This window comes from Homo sapiens, chromosome 16 (assembly GCF_000001405.40).
Source record: "Homo sapiens chromosome 16, GRCh38.p14 Primary Assembly".
NCBI lineage: Eukaryota > Metazoa > Chordata > Mammalia > Primates > Hominidae > Homo > Homo sapiens.
Window position 1 is genome coordinate 73,133,570 of NC_000016.10, and position 22,769 is coordinate 73,156,338.

Genomic DNA, 22,769 nt, shown 5'->3' on the forward strand with positions numbered 1-22,769 from the left:
ATGTGAACACTCTGGAGGAAGATGGCCAGCTATAAGCCAAGACGAGAGGCCTCAGAAGAAACCAGTCCTGCCAACACCTTGATCTTGGGCTTCTGGCCTGCAGAATTATGAGAAAATAAATTTCTGTCATTGAAGCCACCTAATTTGTGGTACTTTCTTTGTGGTATTTTGGGGGTTCCTGTCCACCAATTTCTGTTTTCTCCATCTCCAGATCCCTTTCTTGGGACATACCCTGTTAGAAGCTGCTCTCACAGTAATCCCCAAGAAAGTATTAGCTGAACTTAATGTTTTAGCCCTCCCACAAGTGCCTGCATTTTAATATGGGATTCGTACCTGGAGTAATCTAGGTAGCTGAGATGCATTTGGACTGATGGCTTTCCAGTCATAATTGCTGTAGTGATAGCCGATACTTATTATGTGCCAAATACTGTTCCAAGTGCTCTGTGTCTATCTATATCTATGTCTACGCCTATATCTAATATTCATTCGTTGAATCCCCCCAGTAGCCCTATGAGGTAGGTGTGCTTAAAAGAGGAAGCTGAGGCACAAAAGGGTTGAGTAATGTATCCAAGGTCTCACAGATAGTAAATGGTAGAGCTACGATTTGAACCCAGCAAGTCTGACTTCAGGTACCATGCTTTTAACCACTCACAACTCAGATGACCTCAATGGCCCCTAGCAGGATCGGAACAGACTTTGAGGACTAGCTTTGTTTTTCTAACAATAGCTGTTAGTGACCTTCCGTGTTAGTCTCCCCACCTCTTTTTTTTTTTTTTTTTTTTTTTTTTTTTTAAGAGACAGTCTTCCTCTGTCGCCCAGGCTGGCATGCAGTGGCGTTATCACGGCTCAGTCCTGGTCTCAAGTGATCCTTCTGCCTCAGCCTCCCTAACAGTTGCGACCACAGGCACGTGTCACCACACCCAGCTAACTAAACATTTTTTTTTTTTTAGATATGGGGCCTTGCTGTATTGCCCAGGCTGGTCTTGAACACCTGGGCTCAAGTGATCCTCCTGCCTCAGGCTCCCAAAGTGCTGGGATTACAGGTATGCCCCACTGCACCTGGCTCCCTGTTAGTTCTTATTTCTCTATTTCTAAGTCCCTGAGACAGTACCCACTGTGGGAGATTTTTTTTTAATTGTTTCCAAATATTACCCTTCCTTATGGGAGGATTATCCTTCTCCCATCTCATCAACATCAGACTTGGCCATGTGACTTGCTTTGGCTGCCAATAAAATGTAAGAGGAGGTGATGTTTGCTACTTTTGAGCAGAAATTTTAGAAGTCATCATGTGATTTTTTCTCTTCTCCCTTCTAGCATGAGAATGCTTTGAAGTCAGGCCCAAGCAGCAACTTCAGCTCAGGTCTCAGAATAAAGACAAAATAGAGAGGAGATGCAATCAACCTGTGTTGATTGAACAAAAATGTATCTTTGTTGCAAACCACTGAGACTCAGGGGTTTTTTGTTACTGCATCATTACTTAGTAAAAACAGACTGATACACTCTCTGAATACCAATATATTTAAGTGAAATGCCAGGACTGTTGTAAGGATAATATCTTTAATCAATAAGCATACTCTTAAATAACCAATAAACTGTATTATAGCTTATCCAAGAAATCTTGCAATAGAGCTTTCTGCCCTCTGTGAATACTTTCTATGCATCTATCCATCTCCATCTCAGAAGGCTAAAAGATCATAAACCCTTGCCTAGCTCAGTACACACCGAGTTCATTCACCAGCTCAATATGTACAAAGAGAATCAGAAAGAACAGATGGAGCAGACTAAATGTTATTTTAGGTTCCAGGACATTGGATAGAATGGGAGAGAAAAAGGATTTATTTTCTTTCGTGGATGGGAATTAGTACAAAGGCCTGATGAGACTGTCCCTTATCCAAGGACAGAGAATAAAAGAACTCTTCAATGTAAATTATCCATTCCAAGCTTTCGACCCTGCTGCCATTTTTAGTTCCGAATCGCTCACTTCTCTGAGAGGTTGCAAACTTATGACCTATGAACTGAATGTGGCCTGTGGAAGTCTTTTCACATACCAAAGAAAACACTATTCTATGTGCGGATGTTCGAATCAAATTGATTGCCAACAATCAAAATTTGAGATATTTCAGGTTAAAAAAAATAGTTCCAGCTTCTCTTAATTGAAAGCCTTGGTTACACTGGGCTTAGGAAACTTCAACTAAAGTTGAGTAGCAGCTGCCTTTTAGGCTGGGCATGGTTTCCACGGTCCCTACCTCTCCCTATTGCCTTATACTAGGCTCACTTCACTTATTTATATTCTTTTTTTTTTTTTTGAGACAGAATCTCGCTTTGTCGCCCAGGCTGGAGTACAGTGGTGCGATCTCGGCTCACTGCAACCTCCACCTCCTGGGTTCAAGCAATTCCCCTGCCTCAGCCTCCTGAGTAGCTGGGATTACAGGCACACGCCACCATGCCCAGCTAATTTTTGTATTTTTAGTAGAGACGGGGTTTAACCATGTTGGTCAGGATGGTCTCGAAATCCTGAACTTGTGATCCGCCCTCCTCGGCCTCCTAAAGTGCTGGGATTACAGGCGTGATTATTTGTATTATTTGCATAATCCATGGAGCCACTTGAGTTTGCCACCTTGAGTATCAATTAACTCCTTTCCTTTCCTTTTTCTTGTCCTTCTTTTATTCCTATGTCTTCCACAGTAAACAAGGAGATCTTGGGGACTCCATTTTTGCCACTCTGAGGACATCACTCTTCTGCCTTGTTTTTGGAATTTGGGGTGACCCAAACTTGACAGTCCAGTTCTTTGGTTCCCAAAGAGCTTCATTCTAAACTATCTATTAGGTTGGTGCAAAAGTCATTGCAGTTTTTGCCATTAAAAGTAATGGCCAACGGGAGCGGTGGCTCATGCCTGTAATCCCAACACTCTGGGAGGCCAAAGCAGACAGATCACTTGAGGTCAGGAGTTCGAGACCAGCCTGGCAAACATGGTGAAACCTCGTCTCTACTAAAAACACCAAAAATTAGTCAGGCATGGTGGTGCATGCCTGTAGTCCCAGCTACTTGGGAGGCTGAGGTGGGAGGATCACTTGAACCCAGGAGGCAGAGGTTGCAGTGAGCTGAGACTGCACCAACTGCCCTACACGCTGGGTGACAGAGCAAGACTCTGCCTCAAAAAAAAAAAAAAAAAAAAAAAAAGTAATGGCCAAAACTGCAATGACTTTTGCACCAATCAAATAAGACAATTCTAGGGGTGCAGGGAAGAAATGCTTTCTGCTGGAGATTCTGACAATGTTTATCTAACAGCTTCTACAATACTTGGTGATTTGCATACTTGTGTAGCTAGCAGGTCTTGGAGCAGCATAAGCCTCCTGCCTACTAGATAATTCTGTTGCTTAACAAACCATAACAGCTTTGATTACATGGAAAATGCTAGCAGTAAATGATTGGAAAATGATTTTACTGTTTTCTGTTATGGAAACTCACATGTAGGAACATTATGGAACTGTCTTGAAATTTCTTTTGCCTTCTAAATATAAAATCACTAGACTTTGATATTTCAGCAATTCTACATTTTAAAATATCAGAGCTGATGAGATCGATACTGCTTTGTAGATACCTACACTGCAGAGAGCTAGCCAGTGCTATCTGGATAAAGTAGACAGTAGGTAGGCATTTGCAAGCCTCTCTCACCTACCCCTTTCTTTTTCTGCACCAGATTCATTGCTATACTGACCTCTCATTGACTGAAACTTTACATCAAGGCTCAGGGACTGTAAACCCACCGCAGCTTGGAATATGGAATATGGATGTTGAGATACACACTTCAGTTCCTGAACTCAGTAATGAAATCGCCCCCAGAGTTCTCATGCCAGCATTCAGCTAGCTGCAACTTTCTCCTGCTTGCCTTCTAAGGAGATTAAGAACGGGCATTTTATTTTGTTTCCGTTTTAGTTTATTTGAAGGTTTTATGATGTCTTGGTTGAGTGGCTCGTGGGACTTGCAAATAAACATGCTGCCTTTAAAAATGGCAAGTTGTTTTTATTTATTTCTTTTAGGTGCCCAGTGACCTCCGGGTATATTAGGCAGCTTTAAATTATAATTAAAATAATAACTGTGGTCCTAAAACAGTAATAGATGTTGAATGATACAAACACCAAATTAGGATGTTCAGAAAATCTGTATGAAGGAAGCCAGAGAAAGCATGGAATTAAAAAAATTATCTTTGTGGCAGGACCAAAGGAAACTTATCTCAAACAGCAGCTTTGTTATAATGCTTTTGTTTTGTTTTGCCTTCCTATAAGGCTACTCAAAATTTTTTTTGTATTTGCTAGATTTGGGGTATTGGGGGGTGGGGGAATATCCAGTTCTTTAGTTGATCTTGCTATGACTTTGCCGACAGAAGGAAATAATGAAAATTGCTTGTCATCGGAGAAAATCCCTGTATTCTAATGATTTCTTGACAACTTCTGAAGTCCATGGGCACAATCAGTAGAAGCCGACATTGTGTTTCACTGGATGCCAAATCCTCAGAGTGCTTCTGAGTCCCTCTAAGACATACATCTGCATTCCTCCATCTGTCATCTTAGTTCATCTTCCTCTCCCAACTGTTCTTAAATTAAATGACTACATCTAATGGGAGATTTTCTCGTGAAAGCTTATGAGAGTTTGTCTGAAGACAAATTAAAACATTGCAATGTAATCACCCAGCTCCACTCTCTGCTTGGCTGGCCCCAGTGCCTACTTTTACCCAAAGAAGTTAATCAACGTTTGGGCCCTGTATAGAGAAAAGCAACAAGGAAGGAAATCCATTCAAGAGGAGATGGAATCTACCCGCTGACGGTCAGAGGGTCAGGGGATGAAGACTGGATCTGTCCGCTGCAGAGAGAGCTGTGAGATATGCCAGGGCTCTGAAGACCAGGGCAAGAAGAGTAGGAGGCAGGGAGTGAAAGAAAACAAACATCTGGTTCCAGAATATCAAGGCATGATGCTTAACCCCAGGGATATAAAAATTCCCCTTCTCTTACCCTCCACTCCCCATGGATGAGTGGATGTCTTCCTGCAGTTGTTACAGGTCACTAGGGTTGATGGGACTCTTCAGCTTGGCTAGTTATTGCCCCCTACTTCTTTTTTTGAGATAGGGTCTCACTTTTGAGATAGGGTCTCACTCTGTCACCCAGGCTGGAGTGCAGTGGCATGATCATGGCTCACTGCAGCCTGGACTGCCCAGGCTCAAGTGATCCTCCCACCTCAGCCTCCCGAGTAGCTGGGACCACAGGCACGCACCACTATGCCTGGCTTATTTTTGAAAACTCTTTAGTAGAGACAGAGTCTCACTGTGTTGCCCAGCCCGGTCTCAAACTCCTAGGCTTACGCAATCCTCCTGCCTCGGCCTCCCAAAGGGCTGGGATTACTGGTGTGAGCCACTGTGCCCTGCCTGGTCATTGCCCTTTTATTCTCTCACTGCACCATGTGAATCCCTTTCAACATTTGGTTGAAGGGGACAGCATCTCCAGCAATTCCGCCTTACAGAAATTTATCCTAATGAGACGAGACAGATTCACTAAGCACAAAGATGTCCATCATTTCATTGTTTACAACATCACTGCTCATTAATAGGGAATTAGTTAAATAAACAATGGTATATCCAACACTGGAATGCAATGCAGTCATTGCAATGAAACTATGAAAAATCATCAAAAATTATTGAAAATGTATAACCCACTGACATGGTATATTGTTGCAGACAGTATACATACTATGATACCACTGGCACGAAATAAAACATATGTATATGTGCATGCATAGGAGATATCTGATAGGACGAAGTCCAGGTTAACCGTGTTTACTTCTGGGTGGTGGAATTTTTGGCGATTTTAATTTTTATGCTTTGATAAATTGCTTGCATTTCTCAAGATATTGTACATTATCTTTTAATCAGAAAAATAAAGCTTAAAGCTAGGTCTATATTTGAGAGAAAAAAAGAACAGCCTTGGTTAATGGTATGTGAGTCATTACGCTGTTCTCCTAAAGTCTCCAAACCCAAAAATTTCCCAAGGCATTGAATCCTGGGAAAGAGCTTTGGCTGGGTCATGATGGGAACAGGGAGTTGGCTGCCGCCGTGATGCTCCAACTCTTTATTCCCAGGCTACAACAGTCTAATTTGATAATCTTTTCCATTGAATCTTTATGCTCCCTACTAAACACTCAGAGTGCTTCCTTGGATCAATGCTTTCAAGTTCATCCTCATATCATCTTTGTAAGGCAGAGGTAGGTAGGGAATATGAAGAAAAGTTTCAGGACCTGAGACATCAGTGGCTATGGGACTTGAGGGAGACCATGGTACTGCTGAGACTAGCGTACTGGTTCTCAATCTCTCAGCTCAGTGCTTCTTCCACAAACCCCTAGTGCTTCACTTTCAGAAGTGAGATGGAGCCAGGCATGGTGGCTCACACCTGTAATCCCAGCGCCTTGGGAGGCCACGGTGGGAGAATCGTTGAGGCCACGAGTTTGAGACCAGCTTGGGCAACATAGTGAGACCTTATCTCTACAAATAATTTGAAAATTAGCTGGGCATGGTGGGCACGTGCCTGTATTCCCAGCTACTTGGGAGGCCGAGTTGGGAAGGATTGCTTAAGTTTGAGGCTGCAGTGAGCTATGATCATGTCACTACACTCCATCCTGGGAGACAGAGTGAAACCCTGTCTCAAAAAAAAGGTATAAAATAAAATGACCTTTTTAATAATTCAGTAAACGAAACTAAAACCATCCGTATCTTGTGTAGGGATGTTCAAGAGTTGGATTATAATCTGGCTGTGATCAAAGTGCTCATTAAGAGGAATATTTTTGGACCTCTAATGGCTATCATTGGACCTGATTCATCCTGATCTGCTGAGACAGTGCTCTCAGGGAAGTCTGGAGTTCGGGTTAAAGGTTTCAGTTCTACTATTAACAGTGGCAAACAAAGGCAAGGGTTAACCTGACTAGGTCTCAACCTTTTCATACCTGAAACAAATGGGGAGGCCGGGCGTGGCGGCTCACACTTGTAATCCCAGCACTTTGGGAGGCCGAGGTGGGTGGATCACTTGAGGTCAGGAGTTCAAGACCAGCCTGGCCAACATGGCGTAACCCTGTCTACTAAAAATACAAAAATTATCCAGACGTGGTGGCAAGTGCCTATAGTCCCAGCTACTTGGGAGGCTGAGGCAGGAGAATCAATTGAACCCGGGAGGTGGAGGTTGCAGTGAGCTGATTGTGCCACTGCACTCCAGCCTGGGTGACACAGTAAGACTCTGTCCCAAAAACAACAAACAAACAAGCAAAAAAACACGAATGGGGAGAGAAACCTTGGCTTTACACTCCCCAAGGCATCATTTGGAGGATCAAGTGATGGAAGAGATAAGAAGCCCCTCTCTTTGACTTCTCTCTAGCCTTCTCAAGAGCAGCTGGTCACCCCACCCCATAGCATAATCTTGTAATATGCTGCCACTTACACTCTACATCTTGAGGTTTCTGCCTCCCCAGTCGGGCTGTGAAAGAACAAAGTCAAGAATGATTCTGATTCAATATAATACCACGCCTATGACCTAATACTGTAGTTTTCAATAGATGTTTGCCGACTGGGTGAATGGTTCAGAAATTCAAAGTACTCCACCAGTGAAATACCTTAGAGATTGTATCAGTGGGAACTCATGGAACTGTCTTACTCTGAAATATACAATGTATTACCCATTTAAAAAAGCTCACACGCTTTCTGAGATTGTTAGAGTATTTGGAATGACAAAAGTAGTTGCTGATATTTGACTGATCACTTTGTGCCAAGCACTGTGCTAATCTCTTTAAATAATTTTTTTTTTTTTTTCAGAGACGGGGTTTTGCTCTGTCACCCAGGCTGGAGTGCAGTGGCTCGATCATAGTTTATTATAGCCTCGAACTCCTGGGCTCAAGGGATACTCCCATCTCAGTCTCCCGAGTAGCAGGGACTACAGCTGTGCTCCACCGTGTAGGGCTAATTTCTAAATTTTTTGTTGAGACAGGGTCTTGCTGTGTTACCCAGGCTGGTCTCAAACTCCTGGGCTCAAGCGATCCTCCTGCCTCTGCCTCCCAAAGCGTTGGGATTACAGACATAAGGCATCACATCATGCTCAGCTAAATAAATTTTCTCATTTAATCCTACCACCCTCCCTTTGAGGTAGGTGGCATTATCATTCCAGTTTTTCAGATTCTGACTCTGAGGCTCAGGAGGTAGTCTGCCCATGCAGAGAAAGAATAGGTCTGGAAGCCACTGCCCAGCCTGTAATCTTGATCTCTTTCCTGACTGTGTGTCTGGAGCAGATTTGCAACAAAGAGCAGGGTGGTTTAGGACCTGTTTATTTTCATTCTAACTCAGGGTTTATACTGAGTTGGCTTCTTGCAGATGCTCTTTCAACCAGCCCCTGTTGAGCAGGTAAAACTGAACAAGGCTGCGATGAAGGCTCTGATGGGCTGCACATCATCACCCTGCCATCTGACAATATCATTCACCTCCAGAGCATTAGCTCAAACATGGTCCCTCCCTTTGTTTCTTAAATGTTCCCATTTTCTTTTACTTCCCCCTCTGTTTCCTCTTAACCAGCTGAGTGACAGAAACTCAATGCTGACCACTTCATTAGCCCATGATGACCTTGTGCCTCTGGCCTTTTGCCCTGCCTGCTCTCCTGGGCAGGTTGCCTTACGTCATAAGTCCTTGTTAAAGGTCAGGACCTCTGAGCCATCAGCACTGGGCATGTTGTTTTAATATATATCTAGAGAAATCAGGGCTGTCGGATCACATTAGGTCCTATTTGCAGACTGCATGCCAATACCCGCCGTAGAGAAGAACTGTTACCTTTGAAATACAATCATGGCTAGTTACCAGTGAGTACAGAGGGGGGATTATATTCCATCAGTGAGGCCCTTGTAATCTGTTTCTCCCCCCATCGGCAGGGCCACCCTTCTTCCTGTACAGAGAAAATCCTTATAAACAGTAGTCACATAAAGCAGTGAGGCTAAGAGATACATTGTGTTTTTAAAACCAGATGCGTTAATGAGTGCATGACGGGTAGTGTGGAATGTGATAAGTCAATGCCGCAGGCGCTGGTGTGAATTGGCACAATGCTCTGGGGCTAGATGTTGATATGGTAATAAAATGATAAAGTTAACAGCTACTATTCATTGAATGATTATAGGCACAAGACTAAGCATTTTATATGCACTACCCTGTTTGAGAGTCATAATATCCTTATAGGTCAGATACTACTATGTCCATTTCATGGATGGAGAAACTGACGTCCAGAAAGGCCCAGTGATTGGTCCATATTAACAAGGCCATTAAGTGATGGGGATGAAACGGACTCCAAAGCTGCTCCTAATCCCCAGGCTTCCATGATTCTGCCAGGATACAATTTGGTCTCTTCTTTCAGGTGGAGTTTTAGGTGGTGCTTAAGTAGAACCATATTGCCATTTCCCTTCTAGGGAGGGGCCTCAAATATGTCACTTGACCCAACAGATTTTTTTTTTTTAACTGAGTCTGAGAATAAGCCAACCTTGTTTCCCCCCTTTCTTCTCTAGGATTGGTTTAAGCTCATTCTCACATCTCATGGGAGTCTGGTTGGACGGATCCCTTGACGGAGGTTAGAAATAGCTCTCATAGCCTATTTTTAAGGAAAGCATGACGTTAGAAAATGAGGCAGAAATGGACCCCGAGAAGAGAAGAGAACTCACCAGGCTAGAGAATAGGGTCAACTTCTAACGAAGCCTTCACCAAGAAATGCTCAGAGACGAGAAGTGGGAAGATTGACAAAGATAACATTGGCAGAGACATAGTAGGGTGGGTGAAATTGCTTTTTTCTTCTTCCTTCACCCGGACAGCATATTTCTGTCACATTCATTGTGTTTTGCCCACAGAAAGCTCAGCCAGGAAAGGTAAATGCTGTTGTCTTGCAGCAAACCCACTTTTCTAACTAGAGAAATACGGCCCGAAAAATGCACACAGAAATGCCTGCTTATCTCTTTCTTGAAACCCCAGGCACACTGCAGAGGTGTCTAGTAACACTGCAATTTCCTTTGAACTGTTTGGTTTTGTTTGGTGTCCTTGTCTGGCTGGTTAGTCTTTTTTGACTGCGTTAACTCACCTGGTATAACATTTTCTTTCATTGAGAAACAAGAAAGCTGGAACTCACCTCTCTAATTCCGGCAAAGCTGGACACCATCCAATAGCGCTAGGCTAGACTTCTGGGGGTTGTAACTTATATCTTCCGAGCTGAAGAAGAAAAGAAAGGACAAAAACACGGTTGGGGAGATGTTTGGCAAACCTTCGCAGGCCAAGTGGCTAATGAATGATTCTCCCATTGCTTTTCACTTATTTTTCTTAAATAAGATTTCTTTCTAGGGTGAGGGTTTATTCAAGTCACCCCCTTGTCGGCCAGTATCAAGGCAAATGACACAGTTCCCTGTATTCACTTATGTTTCCTAGGCTATAGAAAAGCACATTCTTGAACTGGGAAAGGCATTTTTAAAAATGAAACTCAGGGCAGCCAACCTCAAGACAGCATCTGATATTAATTAAAAATCATAAAACACTCTAAGTCGAACTAAAGAAATATTGGTAGCGGGATCAGGACAAGGATGAGGGAAATTGAAAGTGAAATCTTGTACTCATGGAATTCTCCTGGCCACCGCATTTCTCCCCGTCTATCCCAGGGAAAGGATTCAAATGGTGTTAACTACTGAACACTTGCCTCGTTTTCCATTCCTCTTTCCCTGGGTAGCTGCGGTGAGTTGGCTGCCGAGATGTAGCCCTGAACCTATCCATCAAGTCTAAGGAAGAGAGAGTTAGAAAGGCAAACATTATCTGGAATCAATATCTTTACAAATCCAAAGGAAACCCCAGCTCCCGAAGGGTTAAGCCAGGGAAGGAAAAGCCATCAGGCTGTTTAGTGAGCTAATGTTTTTATTGATGGGGGAAGCCTTTAAGTCCCTAACAGGAAAAGTGGGGAAAGTGGCAGATTGTTTGGCTGGGGAGAAAGGAGACGGGAAGGAACATTATACACCACGCTGTGTCCTACTCCACGTATTCAGACCCCTGAAACCCAACGAATGCAGAAGACATTCCCTAACCTTGAATAATATTCAACCCAAGGTGTTTTCCTCTCTCCTACCCGCCCCTCCCCGCAAAGTGGAATCCACATCTTCCCCTAACAACTTGGCTATAATGCACATCTCTTGGCTAATGCCTGCACTGAAGAGCATATCTTAATTGAACAACTGTGTTATAAAGCACATCTCAAGCTGACATTCCTGGGATAATCCATATTTCAACCTAACTACCCTGGCATAACACTTCAATCTAATTCCCCCACTGTAAAGTACATTGCAATCTAACACCCTCATATAATGTACATTTCAGTCCATTATTTTGTATTTTGTAAGCCATATTTTGACACGTCTTTTCCATTAAGGAGCAGAACTGTCTGGTGACAACGGCTATCCCTGTGCTGAAAGCCCCCATGGTTTGTACATCGTCCTGTGGTGACAGGCTGCTGATGGACACGCTTCTGAACTTTCACCTTTGCCATCTTAGGTTCAACTCGGGCTTGTTTCTGTACTTCAAGCTCAAGCCTCCTGTTGGGGGAGCAGGGGTGACCAGAGAGCCCTGCTCGGTCCTGGCCAGCTTTCTCTCAAGCTGACCAGCAGGTCGGGCCACCTCACATGATCAAAGTCAGGGGTCAGGGTGTAGCCAATGTCAGGGTCCAATGCCAGGGGCCAATGTCAGGGTCAGAGGTCAGGGTGTAGCTGCTGGCTAATAGAGTGTCAGCTAACACTGTTGTCAAATTGCTGGGCTAAAAGACAATGGCAGCCTCCTGCGGAGGACCTTACCCTGGGGGGAGGGGGCGATTGGCTTTATTGGAAACCTGCCAGTCTCAGAGGTGATGGAAGTGGCTGATCACAGCTAAAGACTGTTTGATTGTTGATGGAGAGCCAGTTCTGTGGTTGGTCCCTAACTGAAAGGCCTGCAGAGCCGCTTATTGATGACTGAGTTTTCCACTTATGATGGATTTCTCTTCTGTTTCACATGCAGCTGGATTTCCATTCAGTCATGGAGGTGGATTGCGGTGACGCATGGCCACAGACTTTTCTGGAACTGAGAGCTATGAGAGGTGATACCGTCACTGACTTCTGGGAAGGCACCAACCTCGTATTGTCTGTTGAATGGGGCTGATTGGTTCTTGAAATGAAACCAATCCAGAATGAATTGAAAAATAGATATAAGAGGTCCTGCAAGTCCAAGACAGTTCAGCGAACATAAAAAGAAGGCAATCAATGTGTTCTGGAAGAGATTTAGTATTCTAACTATCAATAGCCCAGCCTCAAATTTTCCACCTATCTCAGGCAGGGGAAAGAAATTAGATTTCTTTATCTACTGGTGGCATATAACCAGGCTAGTAGTGCCATTAAATATTTGATGAAAACGAGGTTACAAAACTGGAAGAATTCCAAAATTTCCCAAGATAGTATGAATTTAAGAGAGACAAAAACAGGAGGAGGAAAACAAAGTATAGAGATAAAAAATGATCTGGGCCGGGTGCGGTGACTCACGCCTAGAATCCCAGCACTTTGGGAGGCTGAGATGGGCGGATCACAAGGTCAAGAGATTGAGATCATCCTGGCCAACATGGTGAAACCCCGTCTCTACTAAAAATACAAAAATTAACTGGGCGTGGTGGCACATGCTTGTAGCCACAGCTACTTGGGAGGCTGAGGCAGGAAAATCGCTTCAACCCGGGAGGCGGAGGTTGCAGTGAGCCGAGATCGAGCCACTGCACTCCAGCCTGGTGACACAGCGAGACTCCATCTCAAAAGAAAAAAAAAAAAGATCTTCTGAAAGGCATACGGACCATGGAGGATCAGCTAATACAAACCCCCAATGCAGCCTCTGCTAAGACAGACAATAAACAACTAGAAAGCATGAATGGGAGAACGGCTTGTTGAAATTGCAAGGTTATTCTCCTCTTGAGTTATGCCTTGAGAAAACCATATGAACATGGCAGTACTAGTTTTTTAAACTCTTTTCTTTCTTTTTATTTTTTAATTAATTATTATTATTATTTTTTGAGACAGTGTTTTGCTCTGTTGCCAGGCTGGAGTGCAGTGCCACAATCCTGCAAACTTGACCTCCCAGGCTCAAGCAATCCTCTCATCTCAGCCTCCCAAATAGCTGGGACTACAGGCGCCACCACCAAGCCCAGCTAATGTTTTTGTATTTTTTGTAGATGTGGAATTTCGCCATGTTGCCCAGGCTGGTCTCGAACTCCTGGGCTCAAGCCATCCACCTGCCTTGGCCTTCCAAAAGTGCTAGAATTACAGACGTGAGCCACCGTGCCTGGCTGGTAGTACTAGTTCTTAAGCCTCTTATTAATAGAAGTAGTAAAACATCCTAGGGAGAAAAGTGAGGTTGGGAAATGAACTGGAATTGTTTTTCTTGGAAAAGAACAGGTTAAAGGTGACATCAATGACCTTCCACTGTATTCCATTGTAGGATAAGCCATGTTGCTTTGGCCATGCCAATATGGTATGATGGCATATGGGGAGACGTTGGCATGACTCGAGGTACTACTTCTACCTCTTTAAGCCTGTTTTCTTCATTGTTAAAGGGGATCATGCCATCCACCCAACACAGGTACAACGGGGATGAATTTGGATGTAGAACTGTTAGACTGTTAGACAAATTCAACCTTCAAAACACAGCAGTTTCCTTTTGCCTTAAACCACAGCCTGAAGCCCGAGCAACGTAGCCAGACTGCGTCTCTACTGAAAAATAAAAATAAGAATAAAAAAATTGGGCCGGGCGCGGTGGCTCACGCCTGTAATCCCAGCACTTTGGGAGGCCGAGGCGGGCGGATCACGAGGTCAGGAGATCGAGACCATCCTGGCTAACACGGTGAAACCCCGTCTCTACTAAAAATACAAAAAATTAGCCGGGCGTGGTAGCGGGCGCCTGTAGTCCCAGCTACTCGGGAGGCTGAGGCAGGAGAATGGCGTGAACCCGGGAGGCGGAGCTTGCAGTGAGCCGAGATCGCGCCACCGCACTCCAGCCTGGGCGACAGAGCGAGACTCCGTCTCAAAAAAAAAAAAAAAAAAAAAAAAAAAAATTAGCCAGGCATGATGGTGTGTGCCTGTAGTCCCAGCTATTCCGGAGGCCGAGGTGGGCAAACCACTTAAGCCCCCAGGAGTTCCAGGCTGCAGTGAGCCGTGATCATGCCACTGCACTCCAGCCTCGGTGACAGAGCGAGATCCTCTCCCAAAAACAAAAATAAAAAAACCCATAGCCCGGGCTTTTCCATGATGGACATTGTTAAATATGAGGTGTTGGATAATATATCTTCTCTTTGTGAGCAAGAAAGTCCAGTATCTATTTAGAAAGTTTAGGCAAACTCTACTTGACCACAGGGAGCTGACTTAGCCCAGAGCTTAGCAAGCTATGGCTGGCAGGCTAAATTTTGCCCATGGCCCACTATTGTAAATAAAGTTTTATTGGAACGCAGCCACACTCATTCATTTATGTATTGTCTATGATTCTTTCTGCACCACGACAGCAGAGTTGACTTGTTATGACAGAGACAGCATGGCTTGTGAAGCCTAACATATTTACCATTTGGCCCTTTATAGTAAACGTTTGCCAGCCCTGACCTACAACAATGGAACACTCTTTCCTTTGTTTAAAACTAAAATCTTATGTGGAAATTCAATATGCAAAGCAGGTTCAAGAAACAAATATTTCCCCAGGAAGCTGAACTCTTCCTTGTTTGGCAGAAATAATCTATGGTTGGTAGAAATTCTACAGCAATTTCCATGGTTCCATGCAGCAATTTGAAAACTATGAACTGGATAATCTCTGGATACTTCTTTAAGGTCCTAGAAACTCAGTAATTTCTTCAGAGATTAAAGAATGGCCGCAAATGCGCCTTCGTCTGGCAAATGCTGGGCTTTTTTTTTTTTTTTTTTTTTTTTTTTTTACTATTATCTGTGTGATGTTGGGAGGGTTACTGAACTTCTCTGTGCTTCCATTTCCTCATTTTAAAAATAAAGAAAGTTGGGTTGGGCATGGTGGCTCACGTCTATAATCTCAGCACTTCAGGAGGCTGAGGCAGGCAGATCGCCTGAGGTCAGGAGTTCAAGATCAGCCTGGCCAACATGGAGAAACCCTGTTTCTAATAAAAATACAAAAATTAGTCAGGTGTGGTGCCATGAGCCTGTAGTCCCAGCTACTCAGGAGGCTGAGGCAGTAGAACCATTTGAACCTGGGAGGTGGAGGCTGCAGTGAGCCTAGATGGTACCGCTGCACTCCAGCCTAGGCGACAGAGCAAGACTCCATCTCAAAACAAAACAAGAGGATGATTGTATTTGCTTCACAATTTGTTGTAAGAATTAAATGAGATTATATATATATTTTATATATATATAAAGTGCTATATATATAAATAGAGCACTTAAAATAGGGCCTGGCTCATAGTGCTCAGTAAATGTCAGCAATTATTGTTGATATTTTATATAATTACATTAATATTATAGACTATTATCAACAGATATTATACTTTATTAATAAATGCCAATATATTTTACTTTATATTATATTTTATCCTATTAATTATATTCATATTGTCATTACTATATTTTATATTATATTATAATATTATTTTATATTGACATTACATAATATTATCAGCAGATATTATACTTTATTAATATTAATGTCATTAATATAATATTTTGTTATATTAATAAAAATTATTGTTATTAACATGTGGGGCCTTCATTCATGCTGTAGAGATCACTTCCATATTATTCTAAATATCCCTAATGACATTTCCGCTTATTAGTTAATTAATTCAGTTGGCCACTCACTCCACACATCTGTTGTGTGCCAAAGTAATCAGGAAATGAACCAAAGTCCATGCGCTACCAGCTGCACATCTAGTCCTCTCTTGCTCAGTCATTTTCGGCACTTTGCGTTGGTGTTTATTGCTCTACATCTTCTGCGGCGTTTCAGAGTGACACCACTGCTCAAAACAACTTCCTACTACTCCGTCTCTGACTGCTCCACAATTAATTTTTCAACTAGCAGTTTGGTTTCAATGCTTACAAAGTAATTAGACCTTAAAGGCTCTTTACCTGGATTTTATCCTGTCAGCGAATGTGAAAGAAACAATAATTATTATTTAATATTTATTGTCTTCATTGTGCTATGTAGACTCACAGATGTAACCTGCCTTATTGTTGAAGATGACAGCAGAGTGCAGGCAGGTGTGTCTGGAGAAGTAGTCAGACCGCTTTGGAGGCCCAAGTTCTCAGATGCTTCCATCTGACACCTGCGCAGTCAAAGGACACATTTTGGGTTGAGTGGTTCCTAATTTGTTATCCCTAAGTTTTCATTTTCTACAGTTTGATTCCAGAATGGTCGTTTCCAAAGATGACATTCAATGATTTCTTGTACCAAGCAGACGGAGCTTTTGGGGGAGTTACATTTTCCACCACTGTCAACAGAAGAGTAGAACAGACACAACCGCAGATGCTGCTGGATGGAGGCTCCAGGCCCCTTTGGATTCACTCTTCCCCCACCACAGACTGGTTCAGGTTGTCCAGACCAAGGTGCATAGGGGCTGGCCAGAGTGGTAGGTGGACAATGTCATCTACTGGCTGCTAAGAATGTTATCCCTGTAGTTTGGGGCTGGTGTGGCTCAGTAATCAAATGTGTGAGCTTCTTTGAAGTAAGATGGCCCTGGGTTCAAGTCCTGCTCCTGCCCCTTCCCAGCAGATGACCTTTGCCAAGTTACTTCCCACTGTCAGCCTCAGTGTGTCCTCATCAATAAATGAAAGTAACAATAACTACCTCACACATTGTTTTGCATATCAAATAAAATAAATACACAGCAAGTGGCAGCTGTTGTAATTATATTATTATAATAGAAAAGAAATAGAACCCATAGTTTCTGTTTTGGAGTGCCTTAGAAGATAACAGGATATAAACATAAAAGCATGAAATCACCTTGAAAAACATTTACACGTCTTCATCTATATAATGTAAACTAAAAGAGTAGTTAAAAGCCAGGGGTATCAGAGTGACTGGTGGACATGATTTGCTCTCATGATTTGGTGTAAATAAATTGCAAACTCCCGGATGACAGAGCCTGTATACATCTTTGTATCTCCAGCACTTTCTAGCAAAGAATCTTGTACATTTTAACCCTTAACATGTGTCTGTTGAACTAAGTTGAACTGGATTTCTTTGTAAATTCAGTAGAATTCTACCAAAAATAATCACTGGCACAACTCAAGTGTGCGCGCAGATAAGAAACATGAATACAGTGTTGAAACCGGCATCACTCAAACAAAAACAAAACAGGAAGTCTTACACAGAATGGGCAATATTATTTGGCAATAAAAAGGAATAAATGAATGCTACCATGTAGAAGAACCTTGAAATCATGCTAAATGAAAGAAGCCAGTCACAAAAAACCACACACTGAATGATTCTATTTATATCAAATGTCCACAACACAAAAATTCATAGAGACAGAAAATAGATGAGTGATTGCTAAGGGCGACCAAATCCCCAACTTTTTTGCATATCTGTATTGTATATAATTTCTATAATGAATTTATATTACTTTGGAAGGAGGTAAATGTTATTAAAATAAAACGTACAACACAAAAAGTGGTGAGGGACATGGAGGGAAGGGGAGACTTGGTTACTGAGGTCAGGCATCTCAGAGGGGAAAGGAAGGTGTGTGGGGGTTGGAGAAGGCTTCCTCGTTGGGAAAGGAATGTTGCATGTAGAGAACAGCATTCTGTAGCAGGAATGAAAGGGGGAACCAGTCAGAGGCAGGTTGGAGGAAGGCCTTGAGGAACTGTGAGAAGGATCTGGGTCTGATATCAGGATACAGAGGCTGCCTCCTGCTCGGTGGGAAAGAATGTCGTGATTGATTGGTGATACCTGCCCGGGCATAGGAATGGCAGTGATGAATCAATGCCACACACTTTCTACTCCTCCAGGAGCCTTCATTCTGCAGGTGCCCGAGAAATAAAAACACATTTAGGTCTGTCCTACGTGTTGAGGTCTGACGAAGTAGAGTTGGAGATCTAATCTGAATTCCTCTAAATTCCCATGAAAATATTCCAATCTCCATGGGTTCCTTGAGTCAAATTCAGGAAGAATTCACGTGATAACACTGACCTTGCCGGGGGCTACACAAAGAAAAGTGAACTTTCTATTTCCAGCATTATATCAGTTAAAAGAAGAATGCAAAAAACAAAAAAAAAAAAAAAGAGAGAAAGAAAGAAAAGACCCACCCCCACCCCACCCACACAGAAAAAAACAGAAAAGGAGAGGGGCGGAGAAGAGAGCTGGGAAGGGGGTTTGGAACCTCTGGGCCCTATCAGTTACTGAGAAGCCACTCTGTGGAGGAGACACGCAAGCTTCCATCCCTAAGACATTTCCCTCACTCCAACAAGATATTTTCAGTACATCCCAGGCACCAAATAACTGCTCATATGTCCCGAACGATGATGAATTCATTCAAACAACAAGTCAAGACCCTGGATATCACTCAACTCCAGTCAGTCATAACAGCTGACAAATAAAAAATATAATATACAGCCTGTTAGTTCTGCTTTTCCTCATCTTCAATATGCAGATTCAAGAATCGCATTCTATTCCCAGCTGTCAGAGACGGTGACAGTTGTGGGGAGTTTTCTAGCTTTATCAAGGAAGATTATTTTTAACCCAAATTATTTTCCATTGTCAATGTTTAAATCCATATTAAGTCCAGATTAATGCAGGAAGTAGCTTCAAAGGATATTGACTGAGGGAGAAATAATAATAAATGAAATTATTAAGGACAGGGCCCATTTCAAGGAACATTTTCAGAGTAGAAAAGAAAGTTGTTTAGATTTAAATGATAACTAAAGAAAATATGTTTCTTAGGGATTGCTGGCTCTTTTCACAAACACCCAAACTTTGTATACAAACTAGGGGCCTGTAGCATTTTTCTTTCTTTTTTTTTTTCTCACGTGATTGGAATTAATAATGCAGATAAATCCTAAATAAATCAGGATTAGTGTTAACCACATCTTGAGGTTTAGGATGCTATAGGAAAATGAAAAGAGAGAGAGAGAAAAAAAATGAGTTGCTTAAAAAAAAAAAAAAAAGCCCTGGCCTGGGCTACCGGGGTGAGGAGGGGAGAGAAGGGGGCTGGGGGGAAGGGAGGGGAGTAATCGCGAGAAGAGAGGGCCAGCTGAGCCGGGTAATCAAAGCCCTTCTAATCGCTGCAGCTCTGGAGATGTGTTCAAAGGCTCTTTCCTGACCACAGGCTGAGCCGGGTCACAAGTGAAATGCAGTTGCTGTGAAGGGGGAGGGGTGTCTGGAATTTTTGGATGGTTTTGCTATCAGGCTTTGTTAGGAGGAGGTCAGCTGGGTTGTCAGATTTTAGCATCTCCTCAGGAAGCAGGTTAAACTCTCTGGTTGTTAGGGAGAGACCCTCTCCTACCCCTCCAGCCCCACCACCCCAAACCACTTGCCAAACCAGTGAAGAAAGGGAACATGGAAGCCTGGATGTTCATTCCCACCTGGAAAGTTTCTCCCAGAGCTCTCAACTTTGGATGTAAGAATCATCTTCGATAAATAATTGCACCTTGGGATGAATTTTGTAATTTAAGTTTATTTTATGTTTTTAGAGACAAGGTGTCTCCCTACGTTGCCTAGGCTGATCTCAAACTCCGGCTCAAAGACTCAAAGAAGCCTCCTGCCTCCGTCTCCCAAAGTGCTGGGATTACAGCCACACCTAGCCTTGGGGTGAATTTTAATGAAGCCCTTTAGATCCTTGATATTTTTCTGCACTGGAGTCATTGAAAATGGCCTCAACACATTAACTCCAGGTTCTGTCCCCTTCCTTCCCTTGTGTGAGCCCTAAAGGCTGCAGGTGAGGAAGACTTGGGTCCTTTCCCTCTGGTCACCATTACGGGCTTTAATTTTCAGTAAATAAATATCTCTTAAGTTTAAGGGAAGAAATAAGCACTCTTTTTTTATTTTATTTTATTTTTTGAGATGGGGTCTAGTCCTGTCGCCAGGCTGGAGTGCAGTGGCGTGATCTCGGTTCACTGCAACCTCCACCTCCCGGGTTCAAGCAGTTCTCCTGCCTCAGCCTCCTGAGTAGCTGGGACTAAAGGCGCACACCACTACACCCAGCTAATTTTTGTATTTTTAGTAGAGTCGGGGTTTCACCATGTTGGCCAGGATGAAATTATTAAGGACAGGCCTTAATAATTTAATTATTAATAATTAAGGACAAGGATGGTCTTCATCTCTTGACCTCATGATCCGCCCGCCCCAGCCTCCCAAAGTGCTGGGATTACAGGTGTGAGCCACGGCGCCTGGCCTCAAAACAAGCATTCTTAACCCCAAATCACACGTCTGCAGAGATTCTGGCTGTCAACGTGATGCTGGGGTGAAGGCGACCATTGCGAAAATGTGCAATCTTTGGTCGGCATCTCAGTCCAGATGGACTCAGTGATTGTCTTGCTTTCTCACTTCCCTTGGGTATTGCAGAACTGCAGCCCCTGGGATTTGGCATCCACGTGACATGGCTCCTTGCTGAGGCCTGCTTCCGATGGCCTTTCTTCGGTCAATGCACAGATCTCAGTGTTGTCTTAATCTTCAAGCAACCAGGCTGGTCTGAAGTTTTTCAGAAGTTTTGGAGTTTGGAGAGATCATGTCTCCCATCTGTTTCCTGTTCCGTTTTTCTGTACTTCCTCTTCTTTCTCCTGCACCAGTGACTGGGCACAGGCGGCCACTGGACAGTCACTCCCTGTCTGCAATAACCAGAGTCTCTACTGATGATTCCGTTATCCTTGCAGGTCTGTCACTCAGTCTCCCCCAAGACACACTAAAATGGAAAGAAATGAATGACTTGGGGGTGGGCGGCTTTTCTTGCAGCCCAGGATGAAGCTCTTTCACAATCCTCAGGGCATTTGTGGTGACTCTGCAGTAGGTTTAAGTCCAGAGAATGCAACATACATTTTAGGGACTCTTGATAGTTACTATGGTAATTTGAGGCTTTGAAAAATAGAAATATGTTCTGGGGAAAAAGTGGACATTACATCAGATGCAAAATGCTCAACCTTCAAGAGCTTCATACTACTAAAGATGGGTGAAGAAAGGAGGAGATGTTTGTGGTGAAGGCCATTAAAAAAATCAAAAGCAAAGATTGTGAAAATAAACAAGCATAAATTGGATTCCAGCATAAAGATAAAGAAAGATATTTTTGGGATTACAGGTGGTGGCTCACGTCTGTAATCCTAGCACTTTGAGAGGCTGAGGTGGGAGGATCACTTGAGCCCAGGAGTTCGAGACCAGCCTGGCCAACAAGGCGAAACCCCATCTCTACTAAAAATACAAAAATTAGCTTGGCATGGTGGCTGCACTTGTAGTGCCAGCTACTCAGAGGTTGAGGCACAAGAATCGCTTGAATGTGGGAGGCAGAGGTTGCAAGTGAGCTAAGATTGGGCCATTGCACTTCAGCCTGGGTGACAGAGTGAGACTCTGTCTCAAAAAAACAAAAAAAAAAAAAACAAAAAAAAGGAAAAAATAAAAAGATTTTTTTTTCAGTTGGCATGTATACTCTGAATAGTTTCACTTGATCTACCAAACCAAAATAGCACATGCTTAAAGGTAAATAATTCTTAGGGCTTTAGGCTTCAGTAGTCAATATAAAGGATGTTGGTCCTACATGAAGCTAGGGGCAACTCCCAGACAGCAAGGATCTTGTTGCCCAAGAGGAAACAGAGTGGAAATTCAGCCCTTGCCCCAATCCCTCAGCTTTCCATGGAAGTGGAACAGCCAATGGTGACAAAATACAGCACATTTTAAACAAGTGCTAGTGATATAATGACACAATGATATAATAATATATATGAAGCCTGGACACAGTGGCTCATGCCTATAATCCCAGCACTTTGGGAGGCTGTGGTGGGTGGATCACCTGAGGTCAGGAGTTCCAGACCAGCCTGGCCAATGTGGTGAAACACCGTCTCTACTAAAAATTAAAAAATTAGCTGGGCATGGCGGCATGCGCATGTAACCCCAGCTACTCGGGAGGCTGAGGCAGGAGAATCGCTTGAACCCAGGAGGCGGAGGTCACAGTGAGCCGAGATCGCGCCATTGCACTCCAGCCTGGGCGACAAGAGAGAAACTCTGCCTCAAAACAAACAAACAAACAAACTACATGTATATATGTATATATATATGACACATGTCATTATATATAGTACATATGCATATCATACACACTCACATATATGTTATATATGTAAGAATATATATAAAGTGGTCGGGTGTGGTAGCTCACGCCTGTAATCTCAGCACTTTGGGAGGCCGAGATGGGCGGATCACAAGGTCAGGAGATCGAGATCATCCTGGCTAACACGGTGAAACCCCATCTCTACTAAAAATACAAAAAATTAGCCGGGTGTGGTGGCGGATGCCTGTAGTCCCAGCTACTTGGGAGGCTGAGGCAAGAGAATGGTGTGAACCCGGGAGGCAGAGCTTGCAGTGAGCCAAGGGCGCACCACTGCACTCCAGCCTGGGCGACAGAGTGAGACTCCCTCTCAAAAAAAAAAAAAAAAAAAAGACTATATATAAAGTGTTCTTTTCCAGTAACACAAAAGTCAGGCTTATTATAAGAACTAGCTGATAGGTGGGTGAGTAGTTCCCATT

The 22,769-nt window shown here is 43.2% G+C and overlaps 1 protein-coding gene across 2 annotated transcripts in view, besides 1 other annotated feature; it reads right to left on the reverse strand.

The window, feature by feature from the left end:
* ZFHX3 (zinc finger homeobox 3) overlaps positions 1–22,769 on the reverse strand; it is a 1,109,046-nt gene that overhangs the window by 350,685 nt on the left and 735,592 nt on the right. Inside the window, exons 1-2 of one of the 2 annotated variants that reach the window (NR_163978.1) lie at positions 10,741–10,878; positions 10,183–10,262 (exon numbers count right to left, since the gene is read on the reverse strand). The gene's annotated coding sequence lies outside the window, so the exon portion shown is untranslated. Of the gene's footprint in view, positions 1–10,182; positions 10,263–10,740; positions 10,879–22,769 lie in introns of those variants that run through there. The other variant, NM_001386735.1, reaches the window with a different exon arrangement.
* Positions 19,116–19,639: an enhancer, noted in NCBI's record as "OCT4-NANOG hESC enhancer chr16:73186584-73187107 (GRCh37/hg19 assembly coordinates)". NCBI's record gives its function as "activates a minimal SCP1, AML or CMV promoter by ChIP-STARR-seq in naive H9 embryonic stem cells {active_cell/tissue: H9 hESC(naive)}" and the evidence as "EXISTENCE:reporter gene assay evidence [ECO:0000049][PMID:30033119]".